This window comes from Homo sapiens, chromosome 3 (genome assembly GCF_000001405.40).
Source record: "Homo sapiens chromosome 3, GRCh38.p14 Primary Assembly".
Classification (NCBI taxonomy): Eukaryota; Metazoa; Chordata; class Mammalia; order Primates; family Hominidae; genus Homo; species Homo sapiens.
This window is the reverse complement of record NC_000003.12, coordinates 89624782-89645537: the sequence shown is the minus strand read 5'-3', so window position 1 is coordinate 89645537 and position 20756 is coordinate 89624782.

Genomic DNA, 20756 nt, shown 5'->3' with positions numbered 1-20756 from the left:
TAATTATAGTTAAAGAATTTAATACACTTCTTTCAATATCTGTAGAAAAAGCAGGCAAAAATAAATTTAACTTATGCATTTTGTAAGAACACTGTATGGAAATTGTGTTTCTATATCACAGCAGCAAATAATAGAAAATGAAATTAAAAATTATAAATAGATTATTTTCCTTATTATCAAAAGTGTAAATATCTAGAAATAAAATTAAATGAGAAAATGTACAATATCTCTAAAATGAAAACCATAAACATTGAGGAGTATTAAAGAAGACAAAATAAATATAAAGGCATATTATGTTTATGAGTTAGAAGAGTTTCTATTTTGAAGGTATCAGTTACCATTAAGATGATCTATGTATTCAACACAAGGACAATTACAATTCCAACTCCTTTTTGCTTTGTTTTGTTTTGGGTATGAAATTTGATAAGCTGTTTTGAAAATTTAGATGAAAATACAATAGATTATGAATAGCTGATTCACTATTTGTATTAGTCCATTTCACACTGCTTATAAAGACATATCTGAGACTGGGTAATTTATAAGAGAAAGAGGTTTAATTGACTCATAGCTCAGCATGGCTGGGAGGCCTCAGGAAATTTATGGCAGAAGGGGAAGCAAACATATCCTTCTTCACGTGGTGGCAGCAAGCAGAGGTTGCCAGCAAAAGGGGGAAAAGCACCTTATAAAGACATTAGATCTTATGAAAACTCACTCACTGTCATGAGAACAGCAGCATGGAGGTAGCCACCCCCATAATTCAATTACCTCCCACTGGATTCCTCCTATGCTATGTTGGGATTGCAGGAACTACAATTCAAGATGAGGTTTGAGTGGGGACACAGCCAAACCATATCACTATCAGAGAAGAAAACTGTTGGAAAGCTTCCTTATAATGTTTCAAGACTTAGTGAAAATCCACAGCTAATAAAGGCATGAGTATGGTATTAATAGTACAAAACAGACCTATAGGACAGAAAAGAGTCCAAAACGAAACCCATGTATTTGTGGTGAGCTAATTAATGTAAAGTGTCCCACCAGAATGTAAGAGGAAAAGACTGCCTTTCAATAGATGATACTGAGTCAATTAGATATTTATAACTTTAATTTTATCTTTTTCCATGCACAAGAACAATGTCTGTTGGATCATAAAGCTAAATTCAATTAAAAAATCAAAATTTCTAAAAGCCACATAGGATAATATCTTTGAAGTGAGCAAAAATATGTGAAATACATCACAAAGAAAGTGCTCACCATAAAAATCAAATAACTTCATTAAAATATATTAAAGTTTTAAAATTTTGGTAATTAGATGACACCATTAAGACAGTGAATAAGCCAAACCAGAGATTTTGAATGATGCAATTATATATACAATATATATGATTTAATAGATTTGGGAGGGTCATCTATTTTTTATTTTGGGGGTACATAGTAGGTATATGTAACTATGGAGTACATGAGATATTTTGGTACAGGCATACAATGTGTAACAATCACATCAAGGTAAATGGGGCACCCATCACTTTAAGCATTTATCTTTTCTTTATGTTACAAACAATCTAATTATAGTATTCTAGTTATTCTAAAACATACAATAAATTACTATTGATTCTACTCACTCTGTTTTGCTATCAAGTACTAGATCATATGCATTATATCTAGCTATAATTTTTTACCCATTAATCATCTTCAACCCCCACTTCCACTACCTTTCCCAGTCCCTGGTAACCATAATTCTACTCTTTATCTTCCTGAGTTCAATTGTTAAAAATTTTTTAGCTCCCACAAATAAGTCAGAACATATGAAGTTTGTCTTTCTGTGCCTGGGTTATTTTACTTAACATAATTACCTCCAGTTCATCATGTTGTTGCAAACAACAGGATCTTATTCTTTTTATGGCTGCATAGTACTCCATTGTGTATATGTACCACATTCTATTTATCCATTCATCTGTTGATGGACAATTAGGTTGCTTCCAAATCTTGCATAATGTGAATAGTGCTGCAGTAAATACGGGAGTGTGGGTATTTGTTCAATATACTGATTTCTTTTCTTTTGAGTATATATCTGGCCACAGGATCATATGGTAGTTCTATTTTTAGTTTTTTTGAGGAACCTTCAAACTGTTCTCCATAGAGTTTTTACTAATTTACATTCCTACCGATGGTGTATGAGGGTTCCTTTCTATCTGTGTCCTTGCTAGCATTTATTACTTCCAGTCTTTTGGATAAAAACCATATTAACTATGGTGAGATGATATCTCATTGAAGTGTTCATTTGCATTTCTCTGATAATCAGTGATGTTGAGCACCTTTTCATATACCTGTTTGACATTTGTATGTTTTCTTTTGAGAAATGTCTATTCAGATCCTTGCCCATTTTAAAATTGAATTTGTTAGATTTTTTCCTACAGTCGTTTTAGCTCCTTATATATTTTTCTTATTAAACCTTTGACAGGTGGAGAGTTTGCAAATATTTTGTCCCATTCAGTGAGTTGTCTCTTCACTTTGTTTATTGTTTATTTTGCTGTGCAGAGGCTTTTCAACTTGACATAATCTCATTTGTCCATTTTTGCTTGGGTTGCCTGGGCTTGAATGGTATTACTCAATAAATCTCTCCCCAGTCCAGTGTTCTAGAGAGTTTCCCCCAATATTTTCTTTTAGTAGTTTCATAGTTTCAGATCTTAAACTTAAGTCCTTAATCCATTTTAATTTTTTATTTTATTTTATTTTATTTTTTATATGGCAAGAAATAAGGGTTTAGTTTTATTCTTCTGCATATGAATACAAGTTTTCATTCATTGGGTCTTTAGGTTTTTTAAATCCATTCAGAGCCTATGTCTTTTGATTGCATAGTTTATTCCATGTACATTCACCGTTACATTGATAAGTAAGGACTTGCTCCTGCCATTTCGTGTTTTTTTTTTTTTTTTCTGGTTGTTCTGTGATCTCCTCTTTCATCTTTACTTCCTTTCTGTCTTCCTTTAAATGAAGGTTATTTTCTCCGGTGGTATGTTTTAATTTCTTACTTTCTATTTCTTTTGTATCTGTTGTTAAGTTTTTAGATTTGAAGTTAATATGAGTCTTGCAAATAATATTTTATAATCTATTATTTTAAACCAATGACAACTTAACACTGATTGCATAAACAAAATAACATATAAGCAAAAAGACAACTAATAAAACTCTATAGTTTAACTTTGCCTCCCGCCTTTTAACTTTTTTTAAATTTATATGTTATTGCACTGCCTGTGTCTTAAAAAGCTTTTGTAGTTGTTATTTTTGATTGGTTTATCTTTTCACTTTTCTACTTAGGACATGAGTAGTTTATATATCAAAATAGAGTTATAATATTCTGTGTTTTTCTGTATATTTACTATTATCAGTGAGTTTGTGCTTTCAGATTATTTCTTATTGCTCATTAAGATACTTATTTTTCAAACTGAAGATCTCCCTTTAGTATTTCATGTAGAACAGGTCTAGTGTTGAAGAAATTCCTCAGCTTTTGTTCGTCTTGGAAAGTCTTTATTTTTTCTTCATGTTTGAAGTCCATTTTCACTGGATATACTATTCTATGATAAAAGTTTATTTCCTTCACCACTTTAAATGTGTCATGCCATTGTCTCCTGGCCTGTAAGGTTTCCACTGAAAAGTCTGCTTCCAGTTGTATTGGAGGTCCATTGTGTGTTATTTATTTCTTTTCTCTTGCTCCTTTGAGGATTCCTTCTTTATCCTTGACCTTTGGGAGTTTGATTATTAAATATCTTGAGGTAGTTTTATTTGGGTTCAATCTGCTTGTTGTTCATTAACCTTCCTGTACTCAAATATTAATATCTTTCTCTAGTTTTGGGATGTTTGCTGTTACTGTACCTTAGAGTAAATAGATAGAAAAAAACTTTCTATCTTGATCTTTCTACCTCCTTTTGAAAGCCAATACCTCTTAGATTTGTTCTTTTGATGCTATTTTATAGACCTTGTAGGCATGCTTCTTTTTTATTCTTTTTTTCCTTTACTAACTGTGTATTTTCAAATAGCCTGTCATGAAGCTCACTAATACTTTTCTTCTGCTTGATCAGTTCTCTTGTTTAGAGACTCTAATTCATTCTTTGATATGTCCATTGAATTTTTCAGCTCCAGAACTTCTGTTTGATTTTTTAAAAAATATCTTAATCTCTTTGTTAAATTTACCTGGTAAGATTCCAAATTCCTTCTCTGTGTTATCTTGAAATTTGTTCAGATTTCTCAAAACAGCTATTCTGTGTTTGAAAAGTCACATATCTCTGTCACTCTGAGATTAGTCACTGAGATTAGTTCACTTGGTCACTGAGTCACTGAGATTAGTTCACTTGATGAAGTAATATTTTTCTCAATGGTCTTGATCCTTGTGGATATTCGTCGATATCTGGAAATTGAGGAGTGAGGTAATTATTGTAGTCTTTGTAGTCTGTGCTTGTTTGTATCCATTTTTCTTGGGAAGGCTTGCCAGGTATTCAAAGGGTCTTGGGTGTTGTGATCTAAATCTTCGGTCACTGCAGCAATATCTGCTTTAGAAGCCAGGAATTCTGCGGCTCTTATAAACTTAAAGAGATACCACTTTGGTGGTCTTGGGTAAGAAATGTGAGAATTCCCTGGATTATTAGGCAGAGATTCTTACTCTTTTCTCTTTCTTTCCCCCAAACAAAAAGAGTCTCTCTCTCTGTGCTGAGCTGCCTGGAATTGGAGGAAGGGGTGACACAAGCACCTTTGTGGTTACCAACATTGAGACTTCATTGGGTCAGACCTGAAGCTAGGACAGCACTGGGTCTCACCCAAGGCTTGCAGTGACCACTACATGGCTACTAACTGCCTATGTTCACTCAAGGCCGAGGGCTTTCCAATTAGCAGGTAGCAAATATAACTAGGCTTTTTCCTTCCTTTCAGAATAGTGACTTTCTCTAGCCTCAGGGCTGGTCCAGAATGCTGTCTGGGAGCCAGGGCTTGAAGTCAGGGTCCTTATGAATCTACCTTGTGTTCTACTCTCCTGCAGTTGAGCTGGCACTCAAGAAGGAGGATAAACTCCTTGTCACTCTTCCCTCCTTTTTCCTCAAGCAGAGAAATCTCTCCCCATGGCCACCACTGCTCCATGCAGTGGTGTGTACTGTGCATGTGTGTGTACATGCCTACAGTGTGGTGTGTACATGCCTACAGTGAGTACTGCCTGTCTACCACTGATACTCAAGGCTGAAGGGCTCTTCAGTCACCTTGTGTTGAATGCTGCTGGTCCTTAGTCTCTCACTTCAAAGCAATAGACTCCCCTCTGGCCCAGGGCAGGTCCAGAAATGCTGTCCAGGAGCCAAGGCCTGGAATTGGGGACCCCCACCAGCCCACTTGGTGCTCTACTTCACTGTGGCCAAGCTGGTATCCATGCTGCAAGACAATGTCTCCTTTACTCTCCCCACTCTTTCCTCAAATATCAGGATCTTTTCCCTTAGCCGCCACAATTGGGAATGTACTAGGTCACACCGAAAGCCAGCACATCACTAGGTCTCACCCAAGGCCTGTGTTGAGTAGTTCCAGGCTACCATTGCTGATTATTTAACCAGTTGGTGATGAATTCTGCCAGAATTCATCATGAAGTTCCTTCCCTTCAAGGAAGTGGGTTGTCTTCTGGCCCAGGTGTGTTTAGAAATGTCATTTGGGAGCTGTGGCCTGAAATTGGAGCTTCAGGACTCTGCCTGGTGCCCTCTTCTACTATATCTACACTGGCATCTTACTATATCTTACACTGAAGTTGTAAGAGAAAGTCCTATGTACTTGCCCCTCTTCTCTCCTCAAGTGGAAGGAAGGAGTCTCCCAGAGCTGTGCTGCCTTGGGTTGCCATCGCTCCCTGGGCTGCAAGCATTCCTTTGGCTCACAGATCAAAAAGTTGAATCTTAGTGCCACTCTCTTGCCTACCCCAGCTGATGTCTCACTAGGACATGTGCAACCCAAGCCCGCTGGCTCTAGGCCTGGCACAGCACCAGGCCTTGCCCAGGAACTGCAGTCCTAGTGGCCTAGACTCCCTTTCAAGTTTCTTTAGTACCCCAGAGCTTTTTACCCATGGTGGCATGACTTGCCAGAACTCAGTTTCGGACCACTGGGATGAATGATTTTCCTCTGGCTAGGGCTGGTCTAAATGCTCCCTCTGTGGATGCTGACTGAGTTCTGCCCTGTGTTTCTTTCTTCTGTGACAGGGCAGCACTGAGTTCCAGTGCAAAGTCCCACAGTCACTGTATTCTTTCTCCCCCAATACCATAGATTCTCTTTGCATCACATGTTTTCTGCCAGGAAATGGGGACGGGGTAAAGTAGGTGATTCAAGACTGTCTTTCCTGCCCTTTTCATTACCTCTTTCCTTAATATGAAGTTAAAACCAGGTACGTGATCACTCACCTGGTTTTTAGTTCTCACGAACATGCTTTTTGGCATGAGGATAGTTGTGCAATTTGGTGTTTCTGCAGGGTGAACAACAGCTGGAGGCTTCCTTTTCGCCATCTTGAACTCAGGTTTTCCTAGATACTTTAGTATTTATAAGTATGTATGAATAAATAAGATATATATTAAGTATAATTTTAGTATATACAACTTACACTGAGTATATATATTTTTATGTATTTAGACAATGTACATATATTTAGACAATATATTATAAATATATATTATATTATATATAATATATATAATATAGACAATATAATATATAATATATTATATGTTATATGTTATATTATAATATATTATATGTTATATGTTATATTATATATTATAATATATAATATATTATATGTTATATTATATATTATAATATATAATATATTATATGTTATATTATATATCATAATATATACAATATATTATATGTTATATAATATATTACAATATGTTATACGATACATAATATAGACAATATGTTATACAATACATAATATAGACAATATGTTATACAATACATAATATAGACAATATGTTATACAATACATAATATAGACAATATGTTATACAATACATAATATAGACAATATGTTATACAATACATAATATAGACAATATGTTATACAATACATAATATAGACAATATGTTATACAATACATAATATAGACAATATGTTATACAATACATAATATAGACAATGTTATACAATACATAATATAGACAATATGTTATACAATACATAATATAGACAATATGTTATACAATACATAATATAGACAATATGTTATATAATATATAATATAGACAATATGTTATATAATATATATGTACATACATACATATACATAAATGTACATTTATATATAATATATAATATAATATATATATAATATAGACAATATATTATATAGTAAATATATGTACATATATTTAGACAAATTCAGTATATTTTTTTAAAATTCATATATATAAAATTTAAGTATTTATAAATTTAAATATAATTATATATAGCTATATACAAAATTCCCACTTTATGGGAATTATATATTAATTTTACATATACACACATATACTTTTCAAAAATAGATTCATGTATAATATATAACCTAAAAATAAGTGAGAAAATATAGATAATTCAATAAAAATACTTCAGAAAATATTTACATAGGTTATATACATGAATAAAAGTTTCAACATTATTATTCATCAGAGAAATACAAATTAAAACCACAATGATATTCAACCATACATTCTAGAATGGATAAATTTAAAAATACAAATGATATTTATGTCTTTTTCATAGAAATTAATTGGAATTCTCACCACAACCACTTTGTAGAACTTTTTGTTGAGTATTAAGGATTAACATATGCAGACTCCATGTCCCAGCAATTCCGCTTTTAGGCATACACCCAATAGGAAGGCATGCATCTGTTCATTTAAAAAATATGTAAGAGTATTCACATGATTATTTGGAATAGCTCCAAACTGAAATCAACTGAAATGTTCACTAAGAATAGAAAGGGTAAATAAATTAGCATATATCCATGGAAAGAAACACTACATAGCAATGAGAATGAGCAACTATGACTGTGAAGATGGATCTCACAAGTCTAATGCCAAGCCATTCACATAAAAAGGTATATACTGTATAATTCCACTCACAGAAAGTTTAAAAGCAGGCAAAAATACTACTTTTGGTGTTACAAATTATAATAGCTCTAACCATTGGGTGGGGAAAACTGTGATGGAAGGGCTAAAGGGAACTCTGTGGTGCTAAGATTCAATTTTTTGATCTATGAGCTCATGATACAAAAATTCATTATTATATATTTGTGATTTGTCCACTTTTACCTGTATTTTGCAAATGAAGAGAGAGAGTAAAGAGGAGGAGATACAGGTGAATCTGACGAAAAATGTACTAGACTATTATTGCTTGCAGGTGGGTGAGTTTGACAGATGTTACTGGTATATTCCTTGTATCTTTCACTGAGTTGTAGAACTTAAGAAAAAAAAATTAGATTTGGGTAGAATGTGGAAAAGTTACTCCAGTACCTTCACATCTTCTAGAAAGTCAGGTTCTATGGCATGTAGTATTTGGGTGTATTATTTTAAAAAAATATTATAGGTGATCAAAATAAATAGAAAAGTATCTACCAGTGGGGGCTTTCTCGGAAGTATGGGGAGATTGCTCATTGGAATGGAATATAAAAATTATGGTTTCTTATACCACTTCTGCTTTATATACTGTAATTTTGATACAGCCATATAACATGTCTATCTTTAGATAAATAATCTCCAGCTGTAGAATATGTGGGTTTGGCCGGATTACAAGGATTGTCCTTTCTAGATCTGAAGTCTACAATTCTCATGACTTTCAACTTGACTCACTACTAAAAACATACCCAAACCCAATTCCCCCCTTAATTTAGCAAGCCATATCTTCCATCAAATTTTCACTTCCCTTTGATTTCCTTTTTGTCCTCCTCCAGAAAATTCCTATTTAAAAACTTTTTCTAATAATGGAACAACAATTTATATCAATCTTACTTATTTCCCACACAAACTCACATTCCTATTTCCAGTCTATGCACAAACTGTTTATTCACAGGTCTGTTCCATCACAAAATCCCCATTGACCCAGCTCTGAAAGGAAAAGTGATTGAAAATAGTTTTTTTCTTAGCTCCAGGCATTTTCTAGTAGCTTAGAGGTCATTAATATTCCTGTTGGCAATAATTTTATTATACTCTGACAATATTGAAAACTGTCTTGTCTGAAGTAAAAAAAACCCTTAATAATGTCTAAAATTTATTTTATGCTTTACATTTTGTAATGCTTTATTATGTAGTCTATGATATTTAATTCTTATAAGAATGCTATGTTAACGTGTATCAAGACAGGGAGTATGAGATATACATGCCATAGGGCAACTAGTAATTTTATCCTCTTCTTCACTCATATTCTTTATACTTGAAATTGATTTTAATTATACAAGTAGTACATGAATATCCTCATTATAAAACATTAGAATATTAATAAGACTAAAATTTCTTTTGATGATTAACCTTAATTCCACTTTTTTTATGAGAAATAGATAGATTTGTGAGTTCAAAGTGTACCTTTAAGCAATTCAGAGCAAATAAATAAACCCATTCATCCATAAAATATATAACATATTTTTGGTTGAATAAATAATACATATATGAATATATAATATATAATATTTGGGGCTTATATATATTATATGCAATAATATATAACAATAAGATAATATTAATATATTCAAACTGTTGATATAAATTGATATTTAACATTAATAAAATTGTATACAATTTGCTGCTTAATATTAATACAATGTATGCTATTTTGGATGAATATATATTACATTAATTATTAATTATATTGATATATAATTAATTGAGTATGCATTATGTAACTATTAATTATATTACTATTATATTAATAGTAATATGAGTATAATATATATTTGACCAAAATAAAATATCATATACATATACAGTAATGTATTAACATATATTGTAATATATATTCAACCAAAATATACATTTTACATGTCATATAATATATTATCACACTGTAGGTGTTAGTTACCTATTTCTTTTGGTGTTTGTTAGCTATTGTTTAGTGATTTGCTTTCCTTCCACATCAGTACTTATTCATCTGTATCACTCAACTAGAGTATAACATTGCATCATATGGGCACATAAATGTTTATTTAACTATTCCCTGTATGAATGGATATTTAGATTGCCTCAATTTATACTAGTTGAGTCAGTGACTATTCTTTAAATATTTGTTCATGTGCAGATATAAGTACTTCTCTTGGTAGGTCTTAAGAACTTGATGCTTTGCTTAAAATTTTAATAGTTACTACCAAAATGACTTTCAAAGTATCTGTCTTATATTAAATCATTACAAATCATGTGTATATCAAATATGTTTCACCAATATTTTTATTCTATATGTACCAGTCTAAGGGGTAAAATGGTGTTTTTTGTTGCTTTAATTTCCATTTTTTTGCTGACTTCTGAGATTAGGTCTCTCATTTTTAATTGCCTATTTTTTCTCTACAAAATGCACATCTTAGGCCTAGATTTCTATTGGATATTTTTCATTTTCCTAATGATTTGAATTGTTCCTATATTCTACGTATAAATATTTTGCTGTAATGATATATATACTTTTCCTGAGTCTTTTAGCCTTATTTATGTTGTCTTTTGATACTGTTTTACATTTAGATATATATAATTTTTTATTTTGTTGCTTTTTCTTTTTCAAAAAAAATCTCTTCATACATCAGCATTATGAGCATATTCCAGATTTTTCTGAACAATACATTTAGGAATTTACTGAGACTTTATTCAATGTTGTGAATTAGGCTTTTTTTTTTTTCAAAATTAATTTCCAGTTTCCTGGGGGTAATTTGCAAAGTAGTCTATCCTTTCAACTCTACTTTGAAATACCACCCACATCATTTATGTTCCACTGGTATGTTCTCTTCTGGCATTAGAACTATACTTTTAAATTGCTATTGTTTTGAGTTTTGATACCTGGCAAAGACAATTGGCTTTGTTTCTCTCTAGAGAAACCTGACCAATACAATTATATTTATATCTCTTTACTTAATTTTTTTTCTTTCTTATTGCAAGTTTGTCTTTGTAAATAGCATATTATGAATTATTTTTTAGCTTATTCTTGACTCTTTGTCTTTTAGTAGATAAATTTCAGGTATATTTTTATTTACCTAAATTGTGATTATTGCCTTGTGTGACCCTATAGTTTCTCTGTTATAATGTTTTCTATATATTTCCAGTTCTCTATCCCACTTTTTATCTTTTGTGATTGTGATATTTTTTCCACTGATTTTATTCGGCCACTTTTAAGTTATGTCTCTACTTCTATTCCAATAATTCCTCTCAAACTTGTATTACATCTGTTTAAACCTACTTTTGTAAAAAATTAGAGTTATCATCATCTATTGTCTTCTCACTGAACAAAAATGAAACCATATTGTTAATTCTATCTGTTCTGTTTTTTACTATCTCATCTTATATCTTGATACCATTAAAAGTTTTCTGTGTTCAAGAGTCTAGTATGTGAATTCACAGCATATTCCACTCCCCAAATTTAGTTCTGTCATATTTTTATCTTACATATAAGGGACAATCACTAAAGAGACACCAAATGACAGAACACAGCAATAAAATATTAGAAGATATTCAAATATCATATTCCACTGTTATTTTCTTAACAAAATAGCAAGTCATCATTACATAGTCAATTAAAGATACAGTGGGGTTGTTCCTTTTATAGTTTATAGTTAAATGTATTTGTAGTATAATTTACTATGTGCCAAAATTTTCTGATAACAACACATTTTTTTCAGCTCTGTTTTAGACTGTTTCAAGATCAATAGACTATTCCTGCTACTCAGAACTTGTGATTTTTCTATTCAGTTCCAGCATAGAATATACTAGAATGAACAAAATGACCTTTTACATACAAAATTAGTTTCACTACAAGCAGAGTGAACATATTTTTCCTAAAATTATGTTGTTAAAATTAGATTATGTTATGTATTCCTGAAGTTCTATATGCTGATCAATATTATTTATAGAATCCCTTCTTTTCTGCTTAGCAAATCATTGCAAATATTTTCTATTTTCACATTCTCAAAATCTAATTAGATATCAGAACTTCTAGGTTTTATTCAATGTCTTGCCTTTTCAAACTTTGGTTTTGTTTTCTGGGAGAATGTCTCTGCCTAAATTTGCAACTCACTAATCGTCTCTCTCTGCAGATTCTTTTGTTTGCTAAGAAGGCAATTCAAATGGTAGAAATTTTAATTGTTATGATGCCTTTTCATGGCTATATCATTCTGCTAACATCTTTCAGAGGATTAAAATTAAAGTTATTTTAAAGTTATATTTTCCTTACTCTGTTTCTACAGAGATAAGTTATTTCAATTGTTGAGTTGCTTGCCTCTTGATTATCAGAATTTCCCCCTCAATGGTATTCTTTGTTAGATTTGATACTGTCTTTCTGCATTGTATTTTTCTGTACAGTGTTTGAGGACAGGAGAAGCTGCTGTGGATTGGGTGACGGCTGTTTTCAGTGAATTCAGTGAATTCAGGAGACGTGCTATGTTCCTGAGCATGGATGCTCCCCGTGTCTCCCAGAAGTCTCCATTTACTCCTCTATCCTTAATAAACTGCCATGTAAACTGTTCCTGCCTAGTGTTGCCACATTGTCCAATGGAGTTGGGAAAGAAATGTACCAGAATTAATCTACTTGGCTGCACCTACTCTGAATCCAACTTACTACTCTATTGCTTTCTCCTTACTCCACATTTTCTTGTACCTTTCACCACTGTATTAGTTTGCTTTCACACTGCTGATAAAGACATACCCGAGACTGGGAAGAAAAAGAGGTTTAATTGGACTTACAGTTCCACATGGCTGAGGAGGCCTCAGAATCATGGTGAGAGGTGAAAGACACTTTATACATAGTGGTAGCAAGAGAAAATAAGGAAGAAGCAAAAACAGAAACCCCTGATAAACCCATCAAATCTCGTAAGACTTATTCACTATCACAAGAATAGCATGGAAAGACCAGCCTGCATGATTTAATTACCTCACCCTGGGACCCTCCCACAGCACATGGGAATTCTGGGAGATAAAATTCAAGTTGAGATTTTGGTAGAGACACAGCCAAACCATATCATTCTGCCCCTGGTCCCTCCAAATCTCATGTTCTCACATTTCAAAACCAATCATGCCTTCCCAACAGTCCCCCAAAGTCTTTATTCATTTCAGCACTAACCCAAAAGCCCACAGTCCAAAGTCTCATCTGAGACAAGGCAAGTCCCTTCTGCCTATGAGCCTGTAAAATCAAAACCAAGCTAGTTACTTCCTAGATACAGTGAGGGTACAGGTATTGGGTAAATGCAGCCATCCCAAATGGGAGAAATTGGTCAGAACAAAGGGGTTACAGGGCCCATGCAAGTCTGCAATCCTGTGGGGCAGTCAAATTTTAAAGCTCCAAAATGATCTCCTTTGACTCCAAGTCTCACATCCAGGTCATGCTGATGCAAAAGGTGGGTCCCTATGGTCTTGCACAGCTCTGCCCCTGTGGCTTGGCAGGGTACAGCCTCCCTCCTGGCTGCTTTCACAGGCTGGCGTTGAGTGTTTCTGGCTTTTCCAGGAGCACAGTGCAAGCTGTCGATGGATCTACCATTCTGGGGTCTGGAAGATGATGGCCCTCTTCTCACAGCTTCACTAGGTATTCCGCTATGTGGGGGCTCTGACTCCACATTTCCCTTCCGTACTGCCTTAGGAGAGGTTCTCCATGAGGGCCCTGCCCCTACAGCAAACTTTTGCCTGGGCATCCAGGTGTTTCCATACATCTTCGGAAATATAGGCAGAGGTTCCCAAACCCTAATTCTTGACTTCTGTGCACTTGCACATTCAACACCATGTGGAAGCTGCTAAGGCTTGGGGCCTCAGCCCTTTGAAGACACAGCCCAAGCTGTACATTGGCCCCTTTCAGGAACAACTAGAGGGGCTGGGACACAGGGCACCAAGTCCCTAGGTCACACACAGCATGGGGACCCTGGGTCCAGCCCATAAAACCACTTTATCCTCCTGGGCCTCTATGCCTGTGATGGGAGGGGTTGCCGGGGAGTTCTCTGACATGACCTGGAGACATTTTCCCTATGGTCTTGGGGATTACCATTAGGCCACTTGCTATTTCTGCAGGCAGCTTGAATTTCTCCCCAGAAAATAAATTTTTCTTTTTCTTTTCTTTTTTCTTTCTTTCTTTTTCTTTTTCTTTTTTTTTTTTTTTTTTTTTGAGAAGGAGTCTCGTTCTGTTGCCTGGTCTAGAGTACAATGGCCTGATCTCAGCTCACTGCAACCGCCACCTCCCAGGTTCAAGCGATACTTCTGCCTCAGCCTCCCAAGTAACTGGGATTACAGGCACCCGTCATCATGCCAGGCTAAATTTTGTATTTTTGTAGAAACGGGGTTTCACCATGTTGGCCAGGCTGGCCTTGAACTCCTGACCTCAGGTGATCCACCCGCCTAGGCCTCTCAAAGTGTTGTTGGGATTACAGGCTTGAGTCATTGTGCCTGGCTGGGTTTCTCTTTTCTATCACATTGTCAGCCTGCAAATTTTCTGAACTTTAATACTCTGTATTCCTTTCAAAACTGAATGCCTTTAACAGTACCCAGTCCACCTCTTGAATGCTTTCCTGCTTAGAAATTTCTTCCACCAGACACCCCAAATCATCTCTCTCAAGTTCAAAGTTCCACAAATCTCTAGGGCAGGGGCAAAATGCTGCCAGTCTCTTTGATAAAACATAACAAGAGTCACTTTTGCTTCAGTTCCCAACAAATTCCTCATCTTCATCTGAGACCACCTCAACCTGAATTTTATTGTCCATATTGCTATCAGCATTTTTGGCAAAGCCATTCAACAAGTCTCTCAGAAGTTCCAAAGTTTCCCACATTTCCCTGTCTTCTCAGGAGCCTTTCAAACTGTTCCAACCTCTGCCTGTTACCCAGTTCCAAAGTTGCTTCCACATTTTCAGGTATCTTTTCAGCAATGCCCCACTCTACTGGTACCAATTTAGTGTATTCGTTTTTCATGCTGCTGATAAAGACATACCTGAGACTGGGAAGAAAAAGAGGTTTAATTGGACTTACAGTTCCACATGGCTGGGGAGGCCTCAGAATCATGGTGAAAGGCACTTCTTACATGGCAGTGTCAAGAGAAAATGAGGACGAAGCAAATGCGGAAACCCCTGGTAAACCCATCAGATCACGCGAGACTTATTCACTATCATGAGAATAGCACGGGGAAGATCGGCCCCCATGATTCAATTACCTTCCCCTGGGTCCCTCCCACAACATGTGGGAATTCTGGGAGATACAATTCAAGTTGAGATTTCAGTGGGAACACAACCAAACCATATCAACCACTATGTGGGAAGTACTCTTACAGCAATCCAAAATTAGTGTAAGAATTACTCTCTTGGGCTGTGGTTTTCATTTTCAATGCAATCTGATATGATTTCTGTCTTCCTAAGATTTCTCATAGTCTCTGATATTATGAAATTAAGACTGATAAAAAGAAGTGATAAAATGAGATGTTTATACACCAGTATAAAATAATGGTGGATTAGAGGTTCCATGGTGATTCTTTCTAAATAGCCCATTAAACATCCATGAAAATTACAGGAAAAGTAGCACCATAGGCTTATGCTTAAAAAAATATATATATGCTAAAACCAAGTTGGGAATTATACTGACTACTTGTTGAAACAGAATAGGCTTACAAACACAGTTTGGGGTTTCTCTCTCTCTCTTGTCTCTGTCTCTGTCTCTCTCTCTCTCACATACACACACACACACACACACACACACACACACACCCCACATGGTCTTAATACTGATTCTTCTGAATACAGGGCCTAGGGCAAAAACTAACAGGTTAATGTTGTATTGGGAGATACATTCCCAGGGAAGCAAGAGTCAAGGATATAGGAGAGTGAAGGCAGGAATGTGGAAGAGCAAACACAAGATGGTGCATTTCAGAGCTGGCCACAGCTTTGCCTCGACACACACTGTTGCTAAGTTACATAGGACATATTCAGAGAAGCGACATGGAAACCCGAGTTGGAAACAGTCAGCTGGGGAGGAGAGGGAGCAACTTATTTGCTGAATCTTTCCTGCTTTGTTTCTGCCTTTGGTCAAAGTCTTACCCTCAGGACATCCATATCCCAGAAGGTTTTTTTGTTTGTTTGTTTAACCTGGCCAATTCTCTAGGAAGCATCCAGGGAAACCCAAGCTTTATTGGCCATAAGCCAGACACTGTGTAGGCATAGGGGTCTCTTTCTGTCAGTTGGCACCAAGCAAAGGGTGCTTCAGTCTGCAGTGTTGGTATCAGCAGTGGCTATCAGAACTCTACAACTCTCGGAATAGCTTCTGCTACAGCTGATCTGGCCAAGAAACCAGGCAAGTGGCCAAGGCCTGAAGAGGCATGGCTGAATTGATCTAGAGTGGCAGGTAAGCTTGTGTCTTGCAAAAGTTTCTGAACCAGAAAGAGGGGAAAATGTCAATGAAGATAGTGAGGAATGAATTTAACTCATATCCATTCTCTGTGTATAAATCGAGAGTGGAGGAATTGAGTTGACCAGAAAGAAAACTTGGTAGTTATTACTTGCAATGGCCAGAGTTTTGCACCTACTCCAACAGTAACAATATTTTAAAATATATTCAAACAATGCAAATTTTAAGGACCAAAATGGAAAGAATAAAGGAATGGATGAAAACATTATATAGCCTATGATTCTTAACCATCATTTAAAAAATTGATTCACAGACCACTGAATTAGATTCTGGAAGTAATGGATGCTTTCACTAGGGGAATATTATCTGGAATGTTCTGGAAAAAAAGAAAGACAAAATCCAGGAATGGTTTAGGTGGTTATGTAGCATGACCAAAAGGGGAGCAGAATAATGTTGAGCAATATGACGTAAATGGATGTCATTTTGCTCCCCCATATAAAGCTAGGTATTATGGCAGAGCAATAGCTTCATATAAGGTTAAAGTCTGAAAGGGATAAGCTATAAACATCAAAACAAAAAGTGAGAAGAGCTATGCAACTTTACTTTTCCTTCTGCTTTTTTGCAAATAGGAGACAAATAAATCTCCCCATACAATGCTGAGAAAGAATAGGACAGAAAACACAGTTTGATAATATTGAAACATAATTGAAAGGGAGCATCATCTTGAAAACTCACAAAAAATATATTTCAAGCAATTTTTTTAAAAATCATAAGCTTTATTTTTTAGAGCAGTTTTAGGTTTACAGCGAAATTGAAAAGAAGTATGGAGTTCCCACATACCATTCCCCTATTTTTCCCCGCTGTTATCCCCCACCAGAATGGTACATTTGTTATAACTGATGTACCTACATTAACATATAATTATCACACAAAGTCTATAATTTACATTAAGATTTATTCTTGGTAGTGTACATGCTATGGGTTTTTAACAATGTATAATGATGTATAATGATACCAGTACTGTAGTATCATACAGAATAGTTTCATTGCCCTCAAAATGATCTGTGTTCCACTCATATAATCCTCCCTCTCACAACTCTTAACAATCCCTAATCTTTTTACCTTCTGCATAGTTTTCCAGAATGTCAAATAGTTGCAGTCACACAGTAAGCAGCCTTTTCAGATTGGCTTCTTTCATTTAGTAATATGCCTTGAAGTTTTCTGTGTCTTTTCATGGTTTGATAGCTCATCTCTTTTTGGACTAAATACTTGAATAATATTCAATTGTGTGGATGTACAACAGTTTATTTGTCCATTTACCTACTGAAGGATATATTGGTTGCTTTTAGTTTTTGGAAATTATAAATAAAGCTGCTTTAAATATCTGTATGCAAGTTTTTGTTTGGATATATGTTTCAACCATTTTGGCAAATACCAGAGTGTGATTGCTGGATCATATGATAAGAGTATATTTAGTTTTTGTAAGAAACTATCAAATTGTCTTCCAAAGTGGCTGTAACATATTGCCATCCTACCAGGAATGAATGGGAGTTCCTGTTGCTCCTTATCATTGCCAGTATTTGGTGTTGTCATTGTTAGAGGTTTTGGCCATTCTAATTGGTATGCAGTAGTGTCTCATTGTTGTTTTAATTTTAAATTCCCTAATGATATATGATGTTGAAAATATTTTTATATACTTACTTGCCATCTATATATCTTTGATGAGGTACATAATTAGGTATTTGCTCATTTTTTAATCTGAGTGTTTATTTTATCATTGAGATTTAATAGTTCTTTCTATATTTTGGGTAACTGTCCTTTATCAGATATGTCTTTTGCAAATCTTTCCTCCCAGTCTGTAGTTTGTATTCTCATTCTCTTGAGATGTCTTTTGTAGAGCAAAAGTTCTTAATTTTATGGAAGTCCAGCTAAACAATACGTTTTACAATAAAAATATTTTAGAGGATGTGTTCTTGTCACAAAATAATAAAATTACAGTGTTGCAACAAGTAGAAGCAAGGGTATTTGACCATAGGACTTAAAAAATAAAAAAATAAATAGTTGATTGAAATTAGTTAAATTATCCCACTACTCTCATACTTTTAGACTGCTACTCTAGATCATTCAATTACAGAAAACAGGACTTTGAAAGAGAAACTATTTAGAAATATTACCTATTTTAATTATACTCCTGCTTATGACTGGAGACGTCAATTATAAAATCAATTTACTTCACATATGAAAGGATATGTAAAAGACCAACTCACTAACTTTGGACTTCAGTTATTCTTACAATGAATAATAGCTCTACCATCTCCATTTAGTACTTTCATGGCTAGGTATACAGATATTTGTTTTTCACATAGAATAAACTGCTCATAAAGTAAGAATTTGGTACAAAGGCCGAAAACTTAAACATGAGGATTTTCTGAACTGTTTTGCATTTAAACTTTTGACTAAGAGTAATGTGATTCACTTGTTTTTTGTGCTATTCGGCAAAGTTCACTTTCCATTATAAATTGGAAGACATCAAAAAAGTTTTGTCAACAAACTTCTGGATTGTATAACTGTTTTTCCTCTAACTTCAACTTCACTTTATCTTAAGGCTACTTTAAAAAGATAAAAACAAAACATTAGAAAATCAAGAAATCTCCAAACATTGGTTTTGATTTCTTATAAAAAATATGTTGCTGATTAGAGAAATCAATTCACTCTGATGAGAACCTGATCTGTACCAGGACCAATCTCTTGATCTTTATTCTACTCGTCAGAAGTACAAAAAAGTGGGTAATAGGCTGAAAGTAGTTATGTAGGATTTTGGGACATTTTAACAATGTGCTTTTATGTGGGAGTTGGGTTATCAAAGGTAAACAAACTTGGTATGCGACTTAACATGGTAGTGATAGAGATAAATCCCAGTTTTGATGTCAGTTGTGTTTACTGTTGTCATTAACTAGAGACTAATTCAAAAAAAAAGTGAATATTTTGAGTGAAACTAAGAGGTAGATCTTTAGACTCCACCATTATATATTTTCTCATTTTGTATGATTATTCAGCAAGTGAAGGAAATATTATTCAAGTATATTGTGGAAGCTATGAAAGCTCGCATGTGCGTTTCCCTATGAAGAAGCACATATATTTTCCATAAAGATCCATCAGCCTAACATTTTATCAACTTAAGCCCTGTGCAATATGATTCATATTTCTTCTGCATATTCCATTAGAATGAGATTGTAAGGAGTTTTTCTTTTATTAATAATTTTGTTTCTCAAATTTTTTCATATTGCTTTTGGGGATTTATGGAACAAAGGGAGAATCATATACATTCATTCTGGTTTGTGATCTCATTAGATGTCTGCCTTGTAATACAGGCCTCTATTTTTGGGATACATTGAAGGACAGCCAGTCAATTAGACTTTCATACTAGAAAGTAAAGGGGAGTCGCAAATGTGTCAAAGTAATGTAGAAATTCATTGCATAGAATGGTATAAATAAAATCAAATTGTATAAACATTTGTTTTTCCAAGGCGGAAAATTAAGCTTATGCCAGAGGAAGAGGGTTGTTTTTATCTCTAATGTCCTGTGCGAAGGTGTTAGAGAAATGGACTTAGTGTCTCCATTATTAAGGTTTCAGGAAAGAAAGAGCTGAGGAAAGTTTGAAAGCATAAAATTCTCTATTAATACATATGTTTAATTAGGAAAATTTATTCACATTGTAGATAAAACATAGACGAGAATTAGGTCCCTTTGGTTCTATAGAGTGTTTTTCTATGCCAAAAGGAAGGAATGGATCTTGTCATTCAATAGAATGGTAACTCTCATAATATATGACCATTTTCATTATCATCATTCCCCTGAGGCCAAATCTCCATTATGTTCATTAACCAAAAAATCTTTGTTTAATGTTCTTTTTTATGTTTCATAGTAGAATTATTATTTTTCATATTGAAATGTATTTGGAAATCATAGGTATCCACAAAATGTACAACAGTTCTAATGTAGATTCGAAAGTACAATATAGGGAAATCTCTTATTTTTAGAATGCATTATAACATATCTTTAGTTTTATTATTCATTTAACTTGCATTTGGTTGTATTTTTAACTTAAGTTTTGATTACTAAAAAGCACAGAACCTGTAACTTAAGATGTAAAAGATTTACGGTTTCTTAATTCTCCTCCTTTTACCGTTGAAGTAGCTGAAGTCAATTTTATT